Genomic DNA, 24,366 nt, shown 5'->3' on the forward strand with positions numbered 1-24,366 from the left:
CTTCTCTGCCTCAACTTTGGAGATTCATAAATGTAAGCTAAAAGATCTGAGAAACCCTATAATAGAGAAAATGATTACATTTTAACTCAACATTTCCCAATCTATTTGTCCAAAGAACCCTTTCTTTTCTATTGACATCTATTAACATCCTACAGAAATCCCATAGAATATAAAGTGAGAAATGCTGTTACGAGTAATAAATAATGAAAGAATAATTTCATTTAGATTTTAAAATAAATTCTCCCCTAAAAGTTGTAGCTATCATACAGAGTAATCTATTTCCCAAAGAAAAAGGGAAAAAAACAATATTCTAGTGCTATAACAGGAGTGCCCACAATTATATCAGACCTCCATAATGGCCACCTGCTTCACATTCCATGTATTTCATAAAAAGTAAACTCAAAACATATCAGTTATACAATTTTTAAAATCAACTTAGGAAAATGCCTATTCATCAGTTCATTTATACCATAATGGGAATATACCCTTACAGAAAGATAATCATTTCTGCACTAATACTTTCTAATTTTTTTATATTATTAACTACAACTTGATAACTTTACATTGCTGTTGTACCTAGTGAATAAATGCATTTCTACTTTACCTACCTGCCTTAGGTCTCTTAAAATATCATTTTCCCTGGCCAAAATTATGGTTACATTCCAGGCATACTAGTGGCTTTATTTAAGCAATAATATGAAAAGGGACTCACACCACTTCGCTCCAAAATCATAAAAATGGCCACGCATTGTGGCTCACACCTGTAATCCCAGCAATTTGGGAGGCCGAAGCAGGACTGCTTGAGCTCAGGAGTTCAAGATCAGCCCAAGCAACACAGCAAGATCCTATCTCAATTAATTAAAAAAAAATTTTTATCATAAGGATGGGAATATAATGTACAGCACAAGTGATAATGAATGTGTTTGTTAATTTAACTGTGGTAATCATAAAATGTACATCAATTCATCATGTTGCACATACTGAATATATTCAAGCTTTACTCATCAATTAAATTTTTTTTAAATGTTTTATAGAGAGAGAAACAATTTAAGGAAATTTCAGTTCACTTTGTGGTTCAATTGGTACTGGGTATTACTGCTATAAAAACCCAAATGGCAGGGCAGTCTTCATGACCACAGGCTCATAACTTTCCACAATTTGCAACCTCCTCTATTAACACATTCTGCCATACTAGCCAGTAAAATTTTATTTTCAGAGACAAACAGTATAGTTAAAAATAAATTAAAACTGATGAGGCAACTAAAATTATGAAACATAGAAGAGAACAATAAATCAACTAAAAGTTGCATATTTGTACCTACTGAGGAACATATAAAAATTTAGGAATTGATACACTTTTAAATTTTTAATAGATAATTCTTAACAAAAATAGGGTATAGAATACTAACATCTTTAGACTATTAGTATTCAGAAACCCATTTGCGTATTCTTTTCATTAACATTCACAGACACTAGCAACATTTCAACTACAGCAAACTGCAGATTTGCTTATTGGGCATATTTATTAAAGCTGAATTTGAGAAAGGGGACTCCCTCCGCCCCCAAATTAAGCCCATCCCACATCTTCAACAATATAAAAATCCGTGTTGACGGGAGAAGGGTATTTATTACTTCAAATTATTGTGGGGCAAACTATTCTTTTGAAGGGCAATATTTTCTTTCCTTCATGCTAGAACACAGGAAAAGGAATTACAAGGCATATAAAGAAAATGCCTTTAGAAAGACTTGCAGAAGGAGGGCTGGGCGCGGGACTCACACCTGTAATCCCACCACTTTGGGAGGCTGAGGCGGGCGGATCACGAGGTCAGGAGATCAAAACCATCCTGGCTAACACGGTGAAACCCCGTCTCTACTAAAAAAAAAAAATACAAAAAAATAGCTGGGCGTGGTGGCGCACACCTGTAGTCCTAGCTACTCAGGAGGCTGAGGCAGGAGAATGGCGTGAACCTGGGAGGCGGGGCTTGCAGTGAGCCAAGATCGTGCCACTGCACTCCAGCCTGGGTGACAGAGCGAGACTCCATCTCAAAAAAAAAAGACTTGCAGAAGGAAACCAAAGTCTAATAAAAGCTGCTAAAACTGAAACACATCATCAGAGCAGTGTTAATTCGTTAGAAAGAGCACAGAAAAAGCAGTGATCTGTGTTCTGATCTTACTGCTGCCACCTCTATTTATTATACATTATCTCAGGTAAGTTACTTTTCTGTTCCTAAATTCTCATTCAGCACAATAATTTGAATCTTACACATAATTGTTTAGCAAGCCTATATCAAAGCACTGGCATTACAAAGGTGGTCAGAACGGCAAGTTTTGAGACATATATAATCATCTAGAATGAAACTGTCAAACTATTTTTCAATGCCAACCAAAATATGAATGAGACTTTACACAGAAACCCAAATCAAATCCATAACTGAGGTGGTCAGATTTGAGTATGTAATTTTAGCTGGGCATAAGGTATCACTCTATCATTACTTTAACATGAGGTAATAGAGCAGACTGATTAATAGCACAGGCTTTGAAAGCAGAGAGGCAAGGTCCTAATCCAAGCTCTACTCCTTACACCAACTAGATGAGTTTTTGTAGGCTACTGAACCTCTCACCTCTCTAAGCTTCAGCTGCCACATCAAAAAAACAGAGTCAATATTAGAAAGCACTCCATTGTGATGTCTGAGGTAGTCAGCTAGGAAGTTATAATTAATATTATGAAACACTTGATGTGGACAAACAAGTCATTTTATCAATAGTAATTCAGATTTGGTTCCCTTCCTTATTTCTTCTTAATATTCGAGGGGCAAAACCACATTTTGGCTGGGCAAGGTGGCTCATGCCTGTAATCCCAGCACTTTGGGAGGCCAAGGCGGGTGGATTACCTGAAGGTCAGGAGTTCGAGACAAGCCTGGTCAACATGGTGAAACCCCATCTCTACTTAAAATATAAAAAATTAGCCAGGCATGGTGGCGGGCGCCTGTAATCCCAGCTACACGGGAGGCTGAGGCAGAAGAATCGCTTGATCTCAGGAGGCGGAGGTTGCAGTGAGCCGAGATCATGCCGTTGCACTCCAGCCTGGGCAACAAGAGTGAAACTTCGTCTCAAAAAAAAAAAAAAGTTTTCGGCTGGGCACGGTGGCTCATGCCTATAATAATCCCAGCACTTTGGGAGGCTGAGGCAGGTGGATCACGAGGTCAGGCATTCGAGACCAGCCTGGCCAACATGGTGAAAACCCCCTCTCTACTAAAAATACAAAACATTAGCCAGGTGTGGTGGCGGGCGCCTGTAATCCCAGCTACTCGGGAGGCTAAAGCAGGAGAATCACTTGAACCTGGGAGGTAGAGGTTGCAGTGAGTCAAGATTGTGCCATTGCACTCCAGCCCAGGCGACACTGTGAGACTCCATTTCAAAAAAAAAAAAAAGTCAGTATAATACAGTAATTAAGAGTATAGGTTCCCAAGCCAAGCACAGTGGCTCACACCTGTAATCCCAGCACTTTAGGAAGCCTAAGTGGGCGGACTGCTTGAGCCCAGGAGTTCAAAACCAGACTGGGCAACATGGCAAAACCCTGTTTCTACTAAAAATACAAAAATTAGCCAAGCATGGTGGCACCTGCTTGTAGTCCTGGCTATGAGGGAGGCTAAGGTGGGAGGACCACTTCAGCCTGAGAGACTGAGGTTGCAGTGAGCAGAGATCGCGCCACCGCACTCTAACCTGGGCGACACTGAGACCTTGTCTCAAAAAAAAAAGAAAAGAAAAAAAAGGGTATATGTTCCTAAACTAGATGCCTAGCTTCAAATCTATCCCTTAGTAGTGAGGTGACCTTGGGCTAAGCCACTTAGCTAAGTGCCTCAGCATACAATAACAGTTCTGTCACAAGGATGAGGAGTAAGACGGTGCACACAAAATGCTTAGAAGAGGGCCCAGCACACATTGCCAAATAAAGGCTATTATTTTTACTTTACAACCTGGGAGGCAATTGTTTTTTAAAAAAAAATGTTTAAGTCTATATACAAATGGGTTAAGTCATAAAAAAAATTCCCACATAAATAGAGCAGATGCCAATGTAATTGTGTATATACGTGGGGAAGAGGGGTTCCTTTAAAATATTTTCTCCCTTATTCAATCCAGACATGAAGTAATCATGTTGAATTCCAGCGGCAAGAGAATCTTAAATCTTTGTGGGGATGCTCCATAATAAAAGTGTATCACGACCCCTTAGTGTACCAAGATTGCACCAGTATTTTGAGGTTAATTTACTTTGGTCCAATTTAGAGACATAAAAAAGATTATGTCAGCAGGTTAACTAAGATTCTTTTGACCAACACCAACCCTGATAAATATGCATGTCTATCTATACGTAGCCAGAAAAAAAAACTCTTGCCTTTTCTTTTTGCTCTGCTTCTCTAATTCTGATCAGTAGTATGGATCATCTCAGAGGCTAAAATAAGATGTTTTTATGTAGCACCTCCATGCCAAAAAGGAAATTAAACTACTAAATTACCATCCCTTTGTTGAGCAAACAGAACAGTTTTCTGGTTGTCAAGGCAACAGCTACCTCACAGTTTTCCAGCATTGCTTAAATAATTATTTTCCTAGCCAGTCTACGAAATGTCCTAAGTGGCACCTAAAAAACACTGAATTCCATGGGAACACTAAAAAGCATAAGCAATTTTAAAATTAGCTATTAGTGGATAATAATCCTTCAAGATGCCAAAATGCCAAGGAAGCACAGAAGTGCACAAATGAATCAACAGTAATCTCTAATGTGTCTCTGGGCTGCAGCACATCAAATACATAAATTAAGTTTTAGAAAGACAATAGTTAAATCAAATCTTCAAATGGCTGGCTAACACAGACACTGACTAGGAAATACTCAATTATTCGAGATGGTTTTTAAAAAGCAAAACATGCTAGATGACATTTTATTGAGGTAGTTTATTTTAAAAAGTGAGGGATTCAAATTGGTTACAGTGCCAATGTAGCCAGAAGAATCAGAAAACAAGAGTATTAAATTTGATCATAAAAACCATCAGTAGGCTGGGTGCAATGGCTCACACCTACAATCCCAGCACTTTGGGAGCCCGAGGTGTGTAGATTGTTTGAGCTCAGGAGTTCAAGACCAGCTTGGGTAACAGGGTGAAACCCCGTCTCTACCAGAAATACAAAAATTAGCCAGGCATAGTGGCATGCACGTATGGTCCCAACTACTAAGGAGGCTGAGGCGGGAGGATCGCTAGAGCTCAGGAAATGGAGGCTGCAGTGAGCCATGACTGCAACACGGCACTCCAGCCGGGTTGACAGAGCAAGGCTCTGTCAAAAAACAAAACAAAACAAAACAAAAAACCATCATTAATAAATGTACTTAAACACAAACCACGTGACAATAAATCTATGAAAACAGCCTATTTTATATATAGCAATCCCAATGAACTATTAAAATAATGGAGATAATTCCAAAAGATGAATGAACAAAATATACTTGCATTTATATACCAAACAGTGTACCATTTAAAAACCAAGCTTAAAATGCACAATTTGGTGGGAGGGAATATAAAAAAAATGAATACATCGAGGAAATGAAGAAAACCATGGCCAGGTGTGGTGGCTCACGCCTGTAATCCCAGCACTCTGGGAGGCCGAGGCGGGTGGATCACGAGGTCAGGAGATGGAGACCATCCTGGCTAACCCGGTGAAACCCCGTCTCTACTAAAAATATAAAAAATTAGCCGGGTGTGGTGGCGGGTGCCTGTAGGCTAACAAGGTGAAACCCCGTCTCTACTAAAAATACAAAAAAGTAGCCGGGCATGGTGGTGGGCACCTGTAGGCCCAGCTACTCGGGAGGCTGAGGCAGGAGAATGGCATGAACCTGGGAGGCGGAGCTTGCAGTGAGCCGAGATCGAGTCACTGCACTCCAACCTGAGTGACGTGAGACTACGTCTCAAAAAAAAAAAGAAAAGAAAAGAAAAGAAAACCATGCAATATAACTTCAAAATATTCTCTGGGGCCATTTCTTCTCTCCTTTTTCATGTGGCACTAAGGACATGGATTTGTGAAGGGGTAAGGGTTGAATAGGCACAAGGACAGAAGCTGAATATACAAGGCAGTGAAGAGGAGGCCTGGGGGAACCACATGGAGGTGCAGTCCTGTGGCGGAGGACATGGATGAGAGCTGAATAGGGACAGAGGAGATAAGCTGCAAGGCTGGAAGATCCATTACCCGGACCAAATAAGTAAATGGACTAATCAAATAAGTAAATACACTGAATATAGTGGGGGCCATGTTTTTCACTCCAAAGAAGTTAAAATGGAAGGAAGGGAGCAGACTACAGAGAAGTCTAAATATTGGACTGGAATTGGAAATTTGGTTTGAATTCATGATTGTATAATATATATATATGTGTATATATACATACACACACACACACACACAGAAAAATAAACAAGTACTTCTAGGTGTGCGTGTGTGTCCCTATATTTTCCTAGCTCTGTCCAAAAAGAAAGTACTAAGAGCAACCAAAAGACAGCCCAGTAACAACAACAACAAACAGCAATAGCCTACATCTTGATTTATTTATTTATTTTTAATTGAGATGGAGTCTTGCTCTGTTGCCCAGGCTGGAGTGCAATGGTGTGATATCGGCTCACTGTAACCTCTGCCTCCCAGGTTCAAGCAATTCTCCTGCCCCAGCCTCCCAAGTAGCTGGGATTACAGGCGCTCGCCACCATGTCCAGCTAATTAGTAGAGACGGGATTTCACCATGTTGGTCAGGCTGGTCTCAAACTCCCGACTTCGTGATCCACCCGCCTCGGCCCACGTCTTGATTTCTAAATAACTCTCTCCATTATAAGGAATTAGGATCCTTAGAAAAATGGTTGATTTCAAGGTTGGACAGAGAAAAGCACAAGAAGAATCTGAAACATCTTGTGTCAGAAAGTAAAGAAATGGTGCGATTAATGATAGGGACATTTCAAACAGACACAGGAAGCATCTTGAAGGGGTTTTCCTCTTACTGGTCAAATGGGGGAAAGTTTGAGCATTAAAATAAATATTATTTGTGCTATTATCTCCTTAGGGATATATATGTATGTCAAACTGATCAACTTAAGATCTGTGTATTCCACAGTAAATTAATTATATCTCACTTTAAAAAGTTGGTAACAAATTACAATGCATTCAGTAAAAATGAAATCCGTGAGTCCATATTGACAAGAATGAATGAATGAATGTTTTAAAATGTAGAAAAGATAAAGCTTTTCCTTATACTAAAATGTTAATAACTGTAACAGAACTGACAGAGAATCAGCGTTTGGCAACCATCATAAAGGTGGCTGATTCAGAGAGCTATCAAAAGATGCTAAGCTGACAGGTGGTTTGATGAACAGAATATTCACATCATCTTTGAATACTACTGAATTATTTTTAGTGGTGTAATTGTGCAACGTTTTGCACTGTAATATCAAAAGAGCAACTTTCTGTGGTATATCTGCCAAGAGTAACTGGAAATGAGAAAAAGTAGACAGACCGAAGTTGAAGTTATTCTGTTCTATTTATCAGGAATTACACACTGGAGTACAATGGGTGACAGAACATTGTGTTTTAAGCTTGCTCTTAAAAAGTTTGAACGTAATGATAATGAGTACATACATATGTACACATATATGTATACAATATATATGTGTATATATACACACATATATATACACACACATACAAATCTGTGTATATATCTCTCTCTGTGTATACACACACACAGAGAAAAAGATAAATTAGATATAGAGCAAATGACATCGAATGTTAACAACTGGCCAGTCTGGTGAAGGAGATTACATGAACTATTTATACAGCAAATTTGGAATTATTTGAAAATAAATTATTTTGTAAAGTAATATATATTTATTGGGCATTTGCATATTTTTCTATTAATTATCTATTTATATTATTTACCCATCTTTCTGAATTGCTCATTTTTGTTTTTGTTTTTTGTTTGTCTGTTTTTTTTGCTGGATTGTAAGAGTTACTGCATATTTTAAAACTCAACGCCAGCCGGGCGCGGTGCCTCACGCCTGTAATCCAAGCATTTTGGGAGGCCGAGGCGGACAGATCACAAGGTCAGGAGATCGAGACCATCTTGGCTAACACGGTGAAACCCCGTCTCTACTAAACATACAAAAAATTAGCCGGGCGTCATGACAGGCGCCTGTAGTCCCAGCCACTCAGGAGGCTGAGGCAGGAGAATGGTGTGAACCCAGGAGGTGGTGCTTGCAGTGAGCCGAGATCATGCCACTGGACTCCAGCCCGGGCGACAGAGAGAGACTCCGTCTCAAAAAAACAAAAAACAAAACAAAACAAAAAAACTCAACCCCTTCCCAAAACACGAAAATCTTTGGATGTTATCTATATTTCTTAATATTCTTCTTACAATTTTTTAAAGTTTATTTTTGGTTTTTTACATGGCCCCACTGTGTATCTTCTTAAAATTTAAGCTACTTTAGGAGACAAAACCTAAGCTACTTTAGGTTATAAGTAAATTTTAGATCCACATCTCATAAACCAGAGGGATATCTGCATAGTCACAAATATTAACAGAAGAGTATCTGCATATTCCTGGAAATTTAAGTAACTCCAAAGAAATATTCTAACTAGAATTTTCTGCCTCGGCAAACAGGCAAGAGAGAAATTGGGAGAGACATTATTAAAAGCCAACTATACTTAAGGCACTGTTCTAAGTATCAAAAAAGCAAAGGAGCTTTCTCATGTAACACAGCCAATCTACTCTGCCTTGAGAAGAGGTTATTTGTCATCTTGCTAGTGAGGTCACAATCATATTCAAATGCAAATGAATCTTCTTTGGAGTAACAGCACTCTCAGAACATAAACTTTCATGATCTGGAAATTAGAGGAGCCTAGTGGAGGATTCAGGCAGTTCAAAATTCAGAATACAAACAGAAACAGAAACTGGCATTGTTATGGTTTAATGTATCTGGGCATGTTAGTAATAACTACTGGCATGGATTAGAAGGCAATAAGTAGAACATTTTTTAGTATAACAAGTCACTAAAGACAGCATCTGGAGAACATTTAAAAGAGTTTGATTTAAAAAAAAAAATCCTTAAAATCCCTACTGGGCCAGTCCTGTAATCCCAGCACTTCGGGAGACCAAGGCAGGAGGATCACTTGAGCCCAGGAGTTTGAGACGAGCCTGGGCAACATAGCGAGACTTCATCTCTACAAATAATTTTGAAAAATAAGCCAGAAGAGGTGGTGAACACTTATGGTCCCAGCTACTAAGGAGGCTGAGGTGGGAGAACTGCTTGAGCCCAGGAGGTTGTGGCCGCAGTGACTATATCACTGCACTCCAGCCTGGATGACCAAGCTAAAAAAATGATAGGTCGGATGCCATGGCTCACACCTGTAATCACAACACTTTGGGAGGCTGAGACAGGCGGATCATCTGCAGTCAGGAGTTCGAGTCCAGCCTGGCCAACATGGTGAAACCCAGTCTCTACTAAAAATACAAAAATTAGCCAGGCATGGTGGTAGGCACCTGTAATCCCAGCTACTTGGGAGGCTGAGGCAGGAGTATCACTTGGACTCGGGAGGCGGAGATTGCAGTGAGCCGAGTTTGCACCACTGCACTCCAGCCTGGGCAACAAAAGTGAAACTCTGTTTCAAAAAAATAAAATAAAATAAATAATAATAATAATCCAGCCAGGCACGGTGGCTCACACCTGTAATCCCAACACTTTGGGAGGCCAAGGTGGGCAGATCACCTGAGGTAAGGAGTTTGAGACCAGCCTGACCAACATAGTGAAACCCTGTCTCTAATAAAAATAAAAAAAATTAGCTGGCCATGGTGGCAGGCACCTGTAATGCCAGCTACTCACGGGTTGAGTCACGAGAATCACTTAAACCCAGGAGGTGGAGGTTGCAGTGAGCCGAGATCACGCCACTGCACTCCAACCTGGGCAACAGAGCGAGACTCCATCTCAAAAAGTAATAATAATAATAAATAATAATAATAATCCCCACCAACCAAGTTTTTAATCGTGTTTCATATCCTCAAGAATATGATTTTGAAAGACGTCATCAACAAGAAACATCAATCTTTAATCACTTGAAAACCTATCAATTACTTGTCTAGTGACCAAAAGAAACGGACCCACACAACATGTATTAAACACTAAGTCACAAAATTCATTCTAGATTCAGAATATTACTGTAGTAAGCCCTTTGGTAACTTATGCTAAATACTCATTGATGTAACACTATATACTGACTTTCCTTTTCCCAAATATACCAACATTTTGCAAAAGTGACCATTTTATACCATATTTTAATGATTCCTATCTGTCCTCTAGACTGAGCTACTTAAGATAGAAATAGTGTCTTATTCACCTATGAATGCCCTGGTCCTAGAATAGCACCTACATATAGAAGAAATTCATGAGATAATTGTTAACACAAAAAAGATTAGACATTAGTTAAGCCCTGCTAAATGAGATTCCTCTTAAGTTGAATATTATTTATATTTCAAAAATACCTTATAATCAGAAGCGTCTTATATAAACAGGTGAAAAAGCATGAGCTATGGAATCAATATCTGAGATCAAACTTTAGGTTCATAACTTACTAGATCCATCATCCTTGGGAAAAATTATTTAACTTATCTGAGCATAGCTTCACATTTGTAAAGTGTAGTTTATCATACTAATAAAACATATGTTCACTTTTATATTATACATTTATTACATATTATAATTAAATATAAATTACATATTAAATACATACAATACCAATGTGGCCTATTACACATAAAATCACATGTAATAAGCACTCAATATAAATAAATGTCTATATTAATTTATTATTACCATTCTTTTTAAAGAAGATTTTGTACTTAACAATCAGATCACGTAGAAATTAGTGACAGAAGCAGTTCAAGAATAGGTATGAGCAGCTAAGCAGCTAAGCTTATGAGTACAGGACTACAGAGAAGAATGATAGGGGCATTGGTAGCAAATATCCACAAGTGGCAATTTTGTTTGGGTAAGCCAGGTGATTTTCCAGATACTCTGGAGAAATGTTTTCTGAAATCTCAAGTTCCTGGCAGTTATATTTACAGGCTAGAGTGCAGTGGCGCAATCTTGGCTCACTGCAACCTCTGCCTCCCAGGTTCAAGTGATTCTCCTGCCTCAGCCTTCCAAGTAGCTGGGACTACAGGCGTGCACCACCCCACCCAGCTAATTTCATGTGTGTGTATTTTTATAGAGACGAGTTTTCACCATGTTGGCCAGGCTGGTCTCGAACTCCTGACCTCAGATGATCCGCCAGCCTTGGCCTCCCAAAGTGCTAGGACTACAAGCATGAGCCACCGCACTCAGCCTACACAGCTGTTCTTAAACTTAAAAAAAGTAAATTATCTCTCCTTTACAGAGATGATGGTTTATTTTTATGTTACTGAAATTCATACAAACATAAAGTTACCATATTTCATCTAATTTAAGTCACTAATTGTAAACCACACCTACCACTAAAAAAGAAAAAAGCTGCCAATTAAACTACGATATACCATCAATTGACTGCTAAATGCATCCTGATTTCAGAGATGTTAAAATGTAGAAAATGTATACTTGTACCTGATAAAATGTAGTCATATAGTAGCTAAGAATTATTTATTCTTACGGAACTGTACAAGTATAAAACCAAATCTGCAAACTAAATTCCACAAACCAACAAAATCAATGAAATTCAAGTAAGAACATTAATTCAATATGATGGATGATATTCTGCTACAACTACACACTCAAAACACAAATATGGCACAGACTACTTTGGACTAGCATGCTTTTAATATTGAGCACAGTGTAACGAATCAATTCTCCCACCACTTTTCCCTATGTAAACTAGTACAAAACCTTTGCTGGAGAGATCAATGTTGCCTCATGATGTAGGAACATATCACTTACTGTGAACTCCATCTCCGTTGTTTTATAATCAAACCTGCAACAAGCGAAGTAATACTACTCACTATGAACGCTGGTTGTAAAACATAAAAAGTAATTGCAGAAACTGAAATTATACTAGTTTGGTGCAAAACTAATTGTGGTCTTTGCCATTAAAAGTAATTGCATGCCAGGCACAGTGGCTCACACCTGTAATCCCAGCACTTTGGGAGGCCAAGGCAGGTGGATCACCTGAGCTCAAGAGTTCAAGACCACTCTGGGCAACATGGTGAAATACAAAAAAGCTACTAAAATACAAAAAAAAAAAATTAGCTGGGCGTGGTGGTGGCTTGGGAGGCTACTTGGGAGGTTGAGGCAGAGAGAATCACTTGAGCCCGGGAGGTGGAGGTTGCAGTGAGCTGAGATTACACCACTGCACTCCAGCCTGGGTGACAGTGAGACTCCGACTCAAAAATAATAAATAAATAAATAAAAATAAAAGTAATTGCAAAACCACAATTACTTTTGCACCAACCTAATAGTTCTCTGCTATCCAGATGTACAAATGACCCAGAAAATGTTTATATTAAATCTTTTTAGCTCTCTGTATGAAATGAAATGGAAGAAACTCAAGATAAAACAATAATAAAGTATATACCTTTTGAATTTAGTGTCATTTGCATGTATTACTTGATAAAAATAATCAATTAAAAATGTAATTTTTTATTCTACACAGAGAACTTGCAAACTAGGCCAAAGAGAATTTCGGAGAAGTCCAGTTTGATATACACTCACATAGAGGTAAAAGGATATAGAAGAATAAGGCCATAATTTGTGTAAAGAATATCTCAACTCAGCTATGGCTACGATCTGCAACCTATTAGTTGACTGATTTTTACTCCCTGATTCTCAGTTTCTCCACTTCTAAAAAGAGGGTAAATAATACCTTCTGCCTTAAAAACACTCTATATATAAATGTTAAGTCTGCTGCAGACTTATCTTTGAATTATGATTATCATGTGCTAAATCAAATGCATACTAAAAACAGGCACAATGGTAAGAGTAGGAAAATCCAACACTAGGCCTAATTTTGTGTGTGTGTGTGTGTGTGTGTGTGTGTGCACGCGCGCAGACCGCTCTGCCTATTCAATGACTATGCACATATGAGGGACCCAACAAATCATATTTTAATAAGTAAAATAAGGACAAACTATCTTACAGATGACCAAATTTTTACGACAAAGAAGCCCACACAGCTTTACAAAGACTAAGTCACTAACATGACAAGTATCAATTACAAGTTATTTCTCTTAACAAAGAGATATGTTCTGGCAATATGCTTTGCCAACAAGTAATTCATTAGACTGCTAGCCACCTGATCCAAACTGGGCCGATCGGTTTTACTCTGCTATGAAGTTAAAGCTAGGTTAACCAATTAGCCGGTAGAGAAAGGATGTGATGCAGCCTATGGTAGCCATTTTCTGGCATGCACAGGGAGAAGTAGAGAAAACCAGTCTGCTGAGAGGAAGTAAGAAATAAAACAGATGCAGAGGGGGAAAAAGTGCACATAAGAAACTGTGGGTTCTCTGAGTGACTGAGAGAATAGCTAGCCTTAGTTCCTGCTAGCTTTCCAACTGCCTCCTCAAGCCAAACTGGAGTTCCCCTCTTTGGGTACCATGAGATGCTCTGTACCCTTATAATAGATTCTCTTTTCTGCTTTTCATCACCTGAAATGGGTTCTATTACCCATAACCAAAATAGCTTTAATTAAACCCATCAGATGCCTATTATCAAAATAGAAATAATATCAAATACAGTTACAATTCCACAAACATTAATTGAGCACCCACAATGCCCTGGGATATTCAGAACTTAGATCACATCTAGACAAATATTAAACCAATTCCAGTTTACATTTTTAAGCTAAACTGTCAAAATATACAAAAATCCTGGGCTGGGCACAGTGGCTCACGCCTGTAATCCCAACACGCTGGAAGGCCAAGGTGGGAGGACTGCTTGAGCCCAGGAGTTCAAGACCAGCCGGGACAACACGGCAAAACCTCATCTCTACAAAATATCAAAAACTTAGCCAGGCGTGGTAGCACACACCTGTGGCTCCTAGCTAGTGAGGGGGCTGAGGCAGAAGGATCACTTGAGCCTGGGGAGTAGAGGCTGCAGCAAGCTGTGATCACACCATTGCACTCCAGCCTAGGTGACAGACAGAGACTTTCAAAAAAAGAAAAAAAATCTTGACCAGTAAGAAATAATGAAATGTGAACATACGAAGCAAAAAAAAAAAAAAAAAGATTTTTTTTTTGAAAAGCTATTTGAGGTCATCAGATCATTATTATAACATTAGTAGCATTAGCAAACTAACGCTAATTAGTAGCATTAGCAAACATTAGTAAGATATAACCTCTGGCTATCAATTTTTAAAAATCAGCTTTTAAGCCCTTACCAGATGCGTCTGGCCCTACAATCTTATTAAAAATATATTTACACTTTTTAAAAAACAATAGTTTACATCTTCAACAGACTCTTACATTTCTACTCATATTTTTCAAAGTTATAAACTTCTTATCAAATAAAAAGAAAAAATAAAGCAAGAATACTAATTGTCATGGTGGTGCACATCTGTAGTCCTAGCTACTTGTGAGGCTGAGGCAGTAGGATTGCTTGAGCCCAGAAGTTCAAGGCTGTATTGAGCTATGATCACACCACTGCACTCCAGTCTGGGAGACACAGCAAGACCCTGTCTCTTTAAAAAAGGAAAGAAAGAAATTACAAGTTATTTCTCTTAAAAAAGAGATGTTGGCCAGGCGCGGTGGCTCATGCCTATAATCCCAGCACTTTGGGAGGCCGAAGCAGGGGGGATCACCTGAAGTCAGGAGTTTGAGACCAGCCTGGCCAACATGGTGAAACCTCATCTCTACTAAAAATACAAAAAATTAGCTGGGAGTGGTAGCGGGTGCCTGTAATCCCAGCTACTCGGGAGGCTGAGGCAGGAGAATCGCTTGAACCCGGGAGGTGGAGATTGCAGTGAGTCGAGATTGTGCACTGCAATCAAGCCTAGGTGATGGAGCAAAACACCATCTCCGAAAAAAAAAAAAAAAAGATATGTTCTGGCAATATGCTTTTGCCAAGAAAAACCCTGAGCAACAAAGGAAGACATGGCTCTATAAAAAATAAAAAAATTATCTGGGCTCAGTGGCACACGCCTATGGTCCCAACCATTCAGGGGGCTGAGGTGAGAAGATCACTTGAGCTCAGGAGGCCAAAGGTGCAACAAGACATGATCGTGCCACTGCACTTCAGTTTGGGTGGCAGAGAGAGACTCTCTCTCTAAAATTTAAAAAAGATTTTAGAGGCTGGGTGCAGTGTAATCCCAGCACTATGGGAGGCTGAGAAGGGTAGATCACCTGAGGTCAGAAGTTCAAGACCAGCCTGACCAACATAGTGAAACCCGGTCTCTACTAAAAATACAAAATTAGCCTGGCATGGTGGCGCACGCCTGTAATCCCAGCTACTCGGGAGGCTGAGGCAGGAGAATGGCGTGAACCCGGGAGGCGGAGCTTGCAGTGAGCCGAGATCCCGCCACTGCACTCCAGCCTGGGCGACAGCGAGACTCCGTCTCAAAAAAAAAAAAAAATAATAATAATAATGTAAATGAGACCATTTTTAATGCCTTATATTGTGTGTGTGTGTGTGTGTGTGTGTGTGTGTGTGTGTGTGTGTGTGTTTCATTGGTTTTGTTTTACATTTTTCTCCTGATGACCTTGCCCAGCATCTTTCAGGATTTTAATGGTGGCACTAAATGGCTTTTCTTGGCCATTCCTTCCATACTACCTCACACTAAATGGAGATTCTATTAGTTGCTGAGGATATCTATTCCAACTATTCACTTAGGACCATAAGAAACAATTTCAAGATGAGTGTAAGGAAACATATTTAAGTCAAAACTCTATCAAAATGCTATTTCCTGACTCTCCATATGCACCTACTCTTACTGGTAGGTCACAGTGGTATTCTTTTGAGTCACCAGTAATTAATGGTTAAGTCAGAGCCAAAATCAGATTTTAAAACCTGAGTATTATTCCCCTATCCCACTGCACAGCTATTTAAGTAAATGTACACACACAAAGTATCATTAGCAAAGGCAAGTAGAAAGGGCCATGCTACATACAGGGGTATGTAACAGGCCTTCCAGGATACTCGGTCTTGCCTTCTTTCAATGGCCTCTCAGAACTAAACAGACTCAATTTCAAAGCATTCAATAGAATAGTTTATATTAGATTATCATCAGACCTGGAGTTTTAAAAAACTATACCAATCAAATAAGTTACTAGGTTACTTATCTACCTAGGGATCTCAATGCACATGCAAACATTTTCAGAATTTCATTATCAAACATGCCCTCCTACCTAAATGTGTTAACCATGCCCACCTAGCCTCCGTTCTGCTGGAATTTTCTGATCCCCACTGAGATCATGAAAAACATTTCATGGCATCCCCTCCTATAAGCATTCCCAGTGGGACAGAAAAGCCAATAAATCCCTTAAAATAGTCTAGCATTTCCCTTGCCAATCCATTTTCCCTAAGAAAATGGTGAAGAGAGAATCTACTAGACTGTGATTACCCAAGGGAGATGATAAATTCCAGGTGATATGAGGAAGATTAACTGAGCACACACAAAAAATAGTGAACTGTTAATTTACTTATCTTAAAAACAGATAAGAAATAAACTTTACTAGTAAGTATTTCTTATGTTGATCTACAAAAGCAACACACCTTGTGAACACACACATTCTGAGGGAAAAGTGGCAGCTGCACAACACAGCAGGGTTGACAATGAAGTCTTCAATTGTCCTACCACTTTTGGCACACTGTATTTGGTATTCCTGTACATGGGAATTTTACAGATTACATTTTTCTTGTTTACATAAGTTTGTGGATTGTATTATAAACTAGAAAAGTGGTTCCCAAAGTATGCTCCCAGGACCAACACCATCAGCAACATCTGAAAATTTGTTTTTTTGAGACAGGGTCTCACTCACTCTGTCACCCAGGCTGGAAATCCTAACTCACTGCAGCCTCCACCTCCCAGGCTGAAGTGGTCCACCCACCTCAGCCTCCCAAAGTGCTGGGATTACAGCAAAGTGCATACAGCGCCAAGCCAACACCTGGAAATTTGTTAGAAATGCAAATTCCCAGGCACCGCTCCAGACATTCCGAATTAGAAACTCTCCGGGAGGGAAACAGCATTTTGTGTCTTAACAAGCCCTCCAGGACACTCTGATGCACCCCCCACCCCCGGCAAGACTGAGAAACACTGACCCAGAGGTTATTCCTCTAGGTCTTAAGTAGATATTTGTAATAGATATGCTCAGAAACTAACAGAATCTCCATTTAGTTTCCTGAACCACGTAGTATGAGGTATTCTGGTAGGAATCAAAATCTGAAAGCCATTTTGGAAATTTCAGAAGTCATTAAAGACCTGAAAGATATCAGGATAGTGATAATGAAAACAATGTAACATACACACAAAATAAAATACGGCCATAAAGGCAGACCAATTTAAAATAATACATTATTTAAAAATTGAGAGGACTCTAGCAAAGAAATCAGCAATTGAGATAAAATAATCAACGCAAACAACTAAAGAATTAGTAAATAAAAAGCTAATCTTCTATGCAGAAAAAAGTTAACAGCAGACCTGAGATGGCTTTCCTTAGAAAGGGCTGCTTGCAAAGCTGGCCCTTGGCTAAGAACTCACAGGAACCTGGATTTAGGGAGGGTTCCTACCACCAACTGGTAAGAGTGGGTGGTTGTGTCTAAAACAATATGGCTTAAGCTTTCATTATCAGAGTCTAGAATTTGATATATGCCAGACATGCAGTACCTATGTGAACAGCTCCCACTAAAAACCCTGGATGCTGAGTTTTAAGGAGCTTCCCGGGTTGTAACATTTCATGTTGTCACAATTCTTGGTTAGGGGAATTATGTGTGTCTTGTGTAACTCTACCGGGAGAAATTTGCACCTGGTTTCCTCCAGACTTTACCCAATGTATCTTTTCCTTTTGCTGATAATGCTTCCTATCCTCTTGTAATAAATCGCAGCCGTAAACATGACTAATACAATACACTGAGTCCTGTGAGCGCACCTTGTGAATTACCAAATCTAACACTGGTGCTGGAAATATCCAACACATTCTCTTAATTCTATTATGAGCTCTTTGACAGTCATATAATGATAAAAACACTGACAGTAACTTCAAGTCTAAAACATTTGTATTACTCTTACTCCACCCATTAATAAAATAAAACATTTTAATATTATTTTATTTCCATTGTCTTATTCTTTTTAACATATCCAGTAACCTTATTTGAATCACATGCTTAGTTCTTGTACAGTAAAGAACAGGACACCTTCACTGACAATCCAAGGGAAATTGGTATGTTGTTAACAAACAAGGTGGAATACATACTGGGCAGGCTCTAACAAGAGACGATCACTAAAATCAGGCTATTTGACAAACAAAATTGACTTAAAGAATATTGGGGAAGCATCGCAAAGAAATAGTCATGATCTCCCACAACTCAGGTCCTGAGCAGCTCACTGGGTTCCTGCCTCTCCGCTCCTCGCCACGCAAACGGCTCCTGCCAGAACCCAAGATGGCAGCTTCAGGTGGGCAGGTGGCCAGGATCGCCGAAAGCACACCAGTGCCCAGGCGAAGAACAGCCAGGGGCCCCTCCTTGCTCGGTGCCTAACAGCAGGGGCGCAGGGTGGGGCTGCCATCAGCCACGCGCAGAGCCCACTTGGTTATGGCAAGGAAAACCCTGTGACCTAGGGAGTCGCCAGGCTTCCAGTCCTGCTGGCGGGAAGGACTGGCAAGGCAGTGGGGATAAAGGTGCAAGCAAAGAAACCATGGTTTCGGAAGGATAATGTACAGAGAGGCCTTGTGTTGACCCGAGCACGTTTTTTGAAAGAAATTCTTAATATTGGGTGAGCGCTAATTCTCAGTTCAAAAATTAAATCATATGTATAAAAACGAAAAAAAAAGAGTCCTGAGTAACTTCTGATTATTATTTTACATATTAAAAGATAACAGAAAAAAAAAAGCGGTTTCAAATGTGAGTCCTAAGTAAACACTCACCAACTCTACAGCTTACAAGCTTGCCATCAAGGTGGCTTCTCACCAGGACAACTCTATACAGCATGCTTTAAAGTGAGCAGGAGGGTTGGGTGCGATGGCTCAGCCTATAATCTCAGCACTTTGGGAGGCCAAGGCGGGTGGATCACTTGAGCCCAGTTCAAAACCAGCCTGGGCAACATAGGGAAACTGCCTCTGTTAAAAACAAAAATAAAGGCCGGGCACAGTGGCTCATACCTGTAATCTCAGCACTTTGGGAGGCTGAGGCGGGTGGCTCACCTGAGGTAAGGAGTTCAAGACTAGCCTGGCCAACGTGGTGAAACCCTGTCTCTACTAAAAATGCAAAAATCAGCTGGGCGTGGTGGTGCATGCTTGTAGTCCCAGCTACACGGGAGGCTGAGGCACAAGAATCGATTGAACCCAAGAGGCAGAGGTTGCAGTGAGCCAAGATCATGCCACTGCACTCCAGCCTGGGCAACAGAGCGACATTCCGTCTCAAAAAAACAGCTGAGCGTGGTAGCCCATGCCTGTGGCCCCAGCTACTCGTGGTGGAGGCTGAGGTAGAAGGATCATTTGAGCCCAGGAGATCAAGCCTGCAGTGAGTTGTTATCATGCCTCTGCACTCCAGCCTGAGTGACAGACCAACAGCCTGCCTCAGAAAAACAAAAACAAAAACAAAAAACAAAGGGAGCAGGAGTTATTTATTTAACAGTGGTAAGAGGTACTCTCATGCAATTCTTAGGGAGGCTGGTGAATGTATTTTTAAAAACCTGTTCTTTATACAATTCAGAAGACCAATAAGAAATGCTGAAAAAATCAGAAATACAAAAATTAAAAGAAATTATCACATTACTTATATTAGATATCAACATTATAAATAAGGGAATACTTTTCAGATACAAAATGATCTCTAAAACTTTCCTATTTTGGGTAAAATACTAGCCTAGGAACATACATCATGAATATACACCATGATTCAGAAGGGGACTCTGCTATGAAATAAAAACAGTGAAATACTAGAATATAGTGGCATATTTGAAGGAATTGAAAATCATCAAAAACACAATCACTCCTAAAGCATATAATCTAACAATGTCTTCAGGGAGTCCTGGTTAACCTAGTATCACTTGCTCATCCCTTAGCCCTGTGATACTTATGAAAACTGTTTACAGTTTTGTTTAATTATATCCTCAGGATTCAAAGTTTTTACATGGTCTCAGAAACCCAAGATCTACTTGAGAAATGCATTGATTTTATTCCTCAGCGCTGTCTCTAACTTACAAAAAGTAATATTTGCTGCTCAAGGCTACTTCACAGGATATAATCAACGCAAAGCAACCTTCTTTTTGGTAGGCTTTGGGATAACAGTCAATGCAAATTTAGTGAATGCGAAAATTAGTTGTATGAGTGTGTCAAACTTTTGGAAGCACAAGTAGGTAAACCAAGGTGCCATGGACAATGGGTGAAAACTATTATAAATATGGAAAATTTTAACCTGGAAACCATAACACTGTTTCTGTGGATTTCTGAAGACCCTACAAGAATTTTCAGAGATGATATATCTACACAATAAAGCCTGTACTTTCGACAGACCCAAAAAAGTTTAAGAACTCCTATTGTACCCTGAATTTTCAGAAAAATTAGAGAAAGAGAAAACAGGAATACTTAAAGACAACCAAATTTAACCAGACATGGAAATATTTACATTACATACTATTTAATTTTATTTATTTATTTATTTATTTTTTTGAGACGGAGTCTCTGTCACCCAGGCTGGAGTGCAGTGGCACGATCTCGGCTCACTGCAACCTCCGCCTACCGGGTTCACGCCATTCTCCTGCCTCAGCCTCCCGAGTAGTTGGGACTACAGGCGCCTGCCACCACACCTGGCTAATTTTTTGTATTTTTAGTAGAGACGGGGTTTCACCGTGTTAGCCAGGATGGTCTCGACTCCTATTGTGATCCACCTGCCTTGGCCTCCCAAAGTGCTGGGATTACAGGCGTGAGCCACCGCACCTGGCCGATACTACTTCATTTTATAACAAAATAAGAAGTTTTATGTATCTTTTAAAACACATTCATTTTCATCACAAAAACAATTATGTAGATAAATAAAAAAGTATTATTACCCACTGGTATAAAAGAGCAAAGAGAGGTGGAGCTTTAAGTGATTTTAAGGACATAATTCACTAGAGGCAGGAAAAAGAGCTTAAATCCAGATGTCATACCATAACTGCCTTATCAGGTAGTAACAACTTAACACCCTCTTAAAAAAACCTATCTGTAACCAACATAAACTTACCTACTAATTCAGAAGCTAATGTTTAAAATGTTGAAAAAAGATGATTACAAACTATGTTTTAAGAAATACACAGGTAAAGATTTGAAAGTATATACTAAAATGTTAATAGTAGTTACCTCTGTAACGTCTGAATTACGAGTGATCTTTTTCCTACCTGATTTTCTGGATTTTCCATACTTTCTACCATGAGTTTTTTAATAACCAGAAAATGTTAAAATCAAATAAAATGCTTTATGTTCATTATTAAATTATAAAATTATTAATATTAAGTACTATTATTTAACATTTACTTAAGACAGTCAATTTTAAGATTTCTTGCTGATACTTTTAAGAAAAAGTTAACTTAGACCCTAAAGAAAATGAAACCAATCCTTTATTTACTTATTTATTGAGACAGTCTCGCTCTCCAAGACAGTCTTGCTCCAGCTGGAGTGCAATGGTGCAATCGCGGCTCACTGCAACCTCCGCCTCCCAGTTCAAGCGATTCTCATGCCTCAGCCTCCCGAGTAGCTGGGATTACAGACATGCGCCACCACACCCTGCTAATTTTTTTTTTATTTTAGTAGAGACGGGGTTTCGATATGTTGGCCAGACTGGTCTCAAACTCCCGGCCTCAAGTGATCCGCCTGCCTCGGCCTCCCAAAGTGTTAGGATTACAGGTCTGAACCACCACGCCCAGCCTCATTCTACATTTAAAACAAATCAACATTAATTCTTCAAGGCCAGGCCGGCACAGTGGCTCACGCCTGTAATCCCACCACTTTGGAAGGCCTAGACAGGCAGATCACTGAAGGTCGGAGTTCGACACCAGCCTGGCCAACATGTGAAACCCCATCTCTACTAAACATACAAAAATTAGCTGGACGTGGTGGCAGGCACCTGTAATCTCAGCTATTCGGGAGGCTGAGGCAGAAGAATCGCTTGAACCTGGGAGGCAGATGCTGCAGTGAGCCAAGATTATGCCACTGCACTCCAGCCTCAGCGACAGAGCGAGACTCCGTCTCTGGGGGAAAAAAAATTCTTCAAGGCCTAAATTATCTGCTCTCCAAGTATCCTATAAAATTGATGATGCAATGTGATGAATTGATCAGAGAAATTTAATTACATATACTTCACTAGCTTTTTCTATTACAAGTGATCTTTAAAACCATAATGTGATTATGACCTAGTATTTCAAATAAAAATTGCTGGGCACAGTGGCTCATGGCTATAATCCCAGCTACTTGGAAAGCTAACGTGAGAGGATCCCTTGGGCCCATGAGTTCCAGAACAGCCTATGCAACATAACAAGATACCATCTCTAAAATTAAAATTTGGAATTATTCCCAACTCATTCTACAAAGCCAGCATTATTCTGATATATAATGACATTATGAGAAAATAAAACTAGAGGCTGGACATGGTGGCTCATGCCTATAATCCCAACACTTTGGGAGGCTGAGAGGAGAGGACTGCTTGAGGCCAGGAGCTCAAGACCAGCCTGGGCAACATAGCAAAACCACATCTCTACAGACCAATATCCCTCATGAGCAAAAATGCAAACAATATATATATATTTTTTTTTTGGAGACAGGGTCTTGTTCTATCACCCAGGCTGCAGTTCAGTGGTGCCATCTTGGCTCACTGCAACCTCCAACTCCTGAAGTCAAGTGATCCTCCCACCTCAGCCTCCCAAGCCTCCCAAGTAGCTGGGACCTACAGGTGCAGACCACCAAACCCAGCTGACTTTTTTTAAAATTTATTTTCTGCAGAGACAGGGTTTTGTCATGTTGCCTAGGCTAGTCTTAGACTCCTGGACTTAAGCCAACCCAAAGTGCTGGGATTAGAGGTGTGAGCCATCACGCCCAGCCCAAAAATTCTAAATAAAATTCTAGCATGTAGAATCCAACAATATGTTCTAAAAGGTAATATATCATGACCAAGTGCATTTATTGTAGAAATGGAGGATTGTTCTAAAATTCAGAAGTCAATGAGTGTAATTAACGTATCAACAAACTTTAAAAACAGATTACCTCAATATATCCAGAAAATGCATTTTATTAATACAAAATCCATAAGCCACTCCTGATGTAATCTCTCAGCAAACTAGGAACAGAATGAAACTTCCTCAATCGGACAAAAGGCATCCATGAAAAATCTGCAACTAACATTATACTTAACGGTGAAAGACTGAATGCTTTTCCCTACAATTAAGAACAAGACAGGGATATCCACCTCACCACTTCTATTCTGCATTGTTTTGGAGAGCCAATGCAATCAAGAAAGAAAAGATATTTGAATTGGACATGAAGAATAGTAGCTGCCTTTACTGACAACATGATCCGCTACCAAGGAAATCCAAAGGAATCTACAAAAATCCTGCTGTAACCAATAGGTGGTTTTAGCAAGATCACAGGATACACAATATAGAGAAGTCAATAGGATTCCTATACATTAGCAACAATCAGAAATTGAATTTTTAAAATACCATTAACAACAGAATAAAAAATTACTAAATATTTAGAGATCTGGCAGAGAGTTCTCATTCTGAGAGTTCTAACTAGTAAATCAGGATTCCTTACACAAGTGTTTTTCAAACTGAGCCACAACCTATTAATTACTAGGTAGGGAAAGAACAAGAGAAAAAAATGATATGAGAGAAAAAATGACTGAGTTAACGCTCATTCACACATTTGTTTCTGGCTTTTGGGTTTTGTTTTGTTTTGTTTTGAGATAGGGTCTCCCTCTGTTATTCAAGCTGAGCTCTGTGGCTCACTGCAGCCTTGACTTCCTGGGCTCAAGCAATTAGCCTGTTTCAGCCTCCCAAGTAGCTAGAACTACAGGCATGTACCACAATGCCCAGCTAATTTTTGATAATTTGTAGAGACAGGGTCTCACTATGTTACCCAGGCTGGTCTCAAACTCCTGGACTCAAGTGATCCTCCCACCTTGGCCTCCCAAAGTGCTGGGATTACAGGCA

At 39.6% G+C, this 24,366-nt stretch overlaps 1 protein-coding gene across 9 annotated transcripts in view, besides 1 other annotated feature; it reads right to left on the reverse strand.

Moving 5' to 3' along the window:
- The window catches only part of ARID4B (AT-rich interaction domain 4B), a 161,278-nt gene that overhangs the window by 95,047 nt on the left and 41,865 nt on the right, over positions 1 to 24,366 (reverse strand). The gene's annotated exons all lie outside the window — the stretch shown is intronic.
- Positions 9,509 to 10,097: an enhancer, noted in NCBI's record as "H3K27ac-H3K4me1 hESC enhancer chr1:235434772-235435360 (GRCh37/hg19 assembly coordinates)". NCBI's record gives its function as "activates a minimal SCP1, AML or CMV promoter by ChIP-STARR-seq in primed H9 embryonic stem cells {active_cell/tissue: H9 hESC(primed)}" and the evidence as "EXISTENCE:reporter gene assay evidence [ECO:0000049][PMID:30033119]".

This window comes from Homo sapiens, chromosome 1, assembly GCF_000001405.40.
Source record: "Homo sapiens chromosome 1, GRCh38.p14 Primary Assembly".
Classification (NCBI taxonomy): domain Eukaryota; kingdom Metazoa; phylum Chordata; class Mammalia; order Primates; family Hominidae; genus Homo; species Homo sapiens.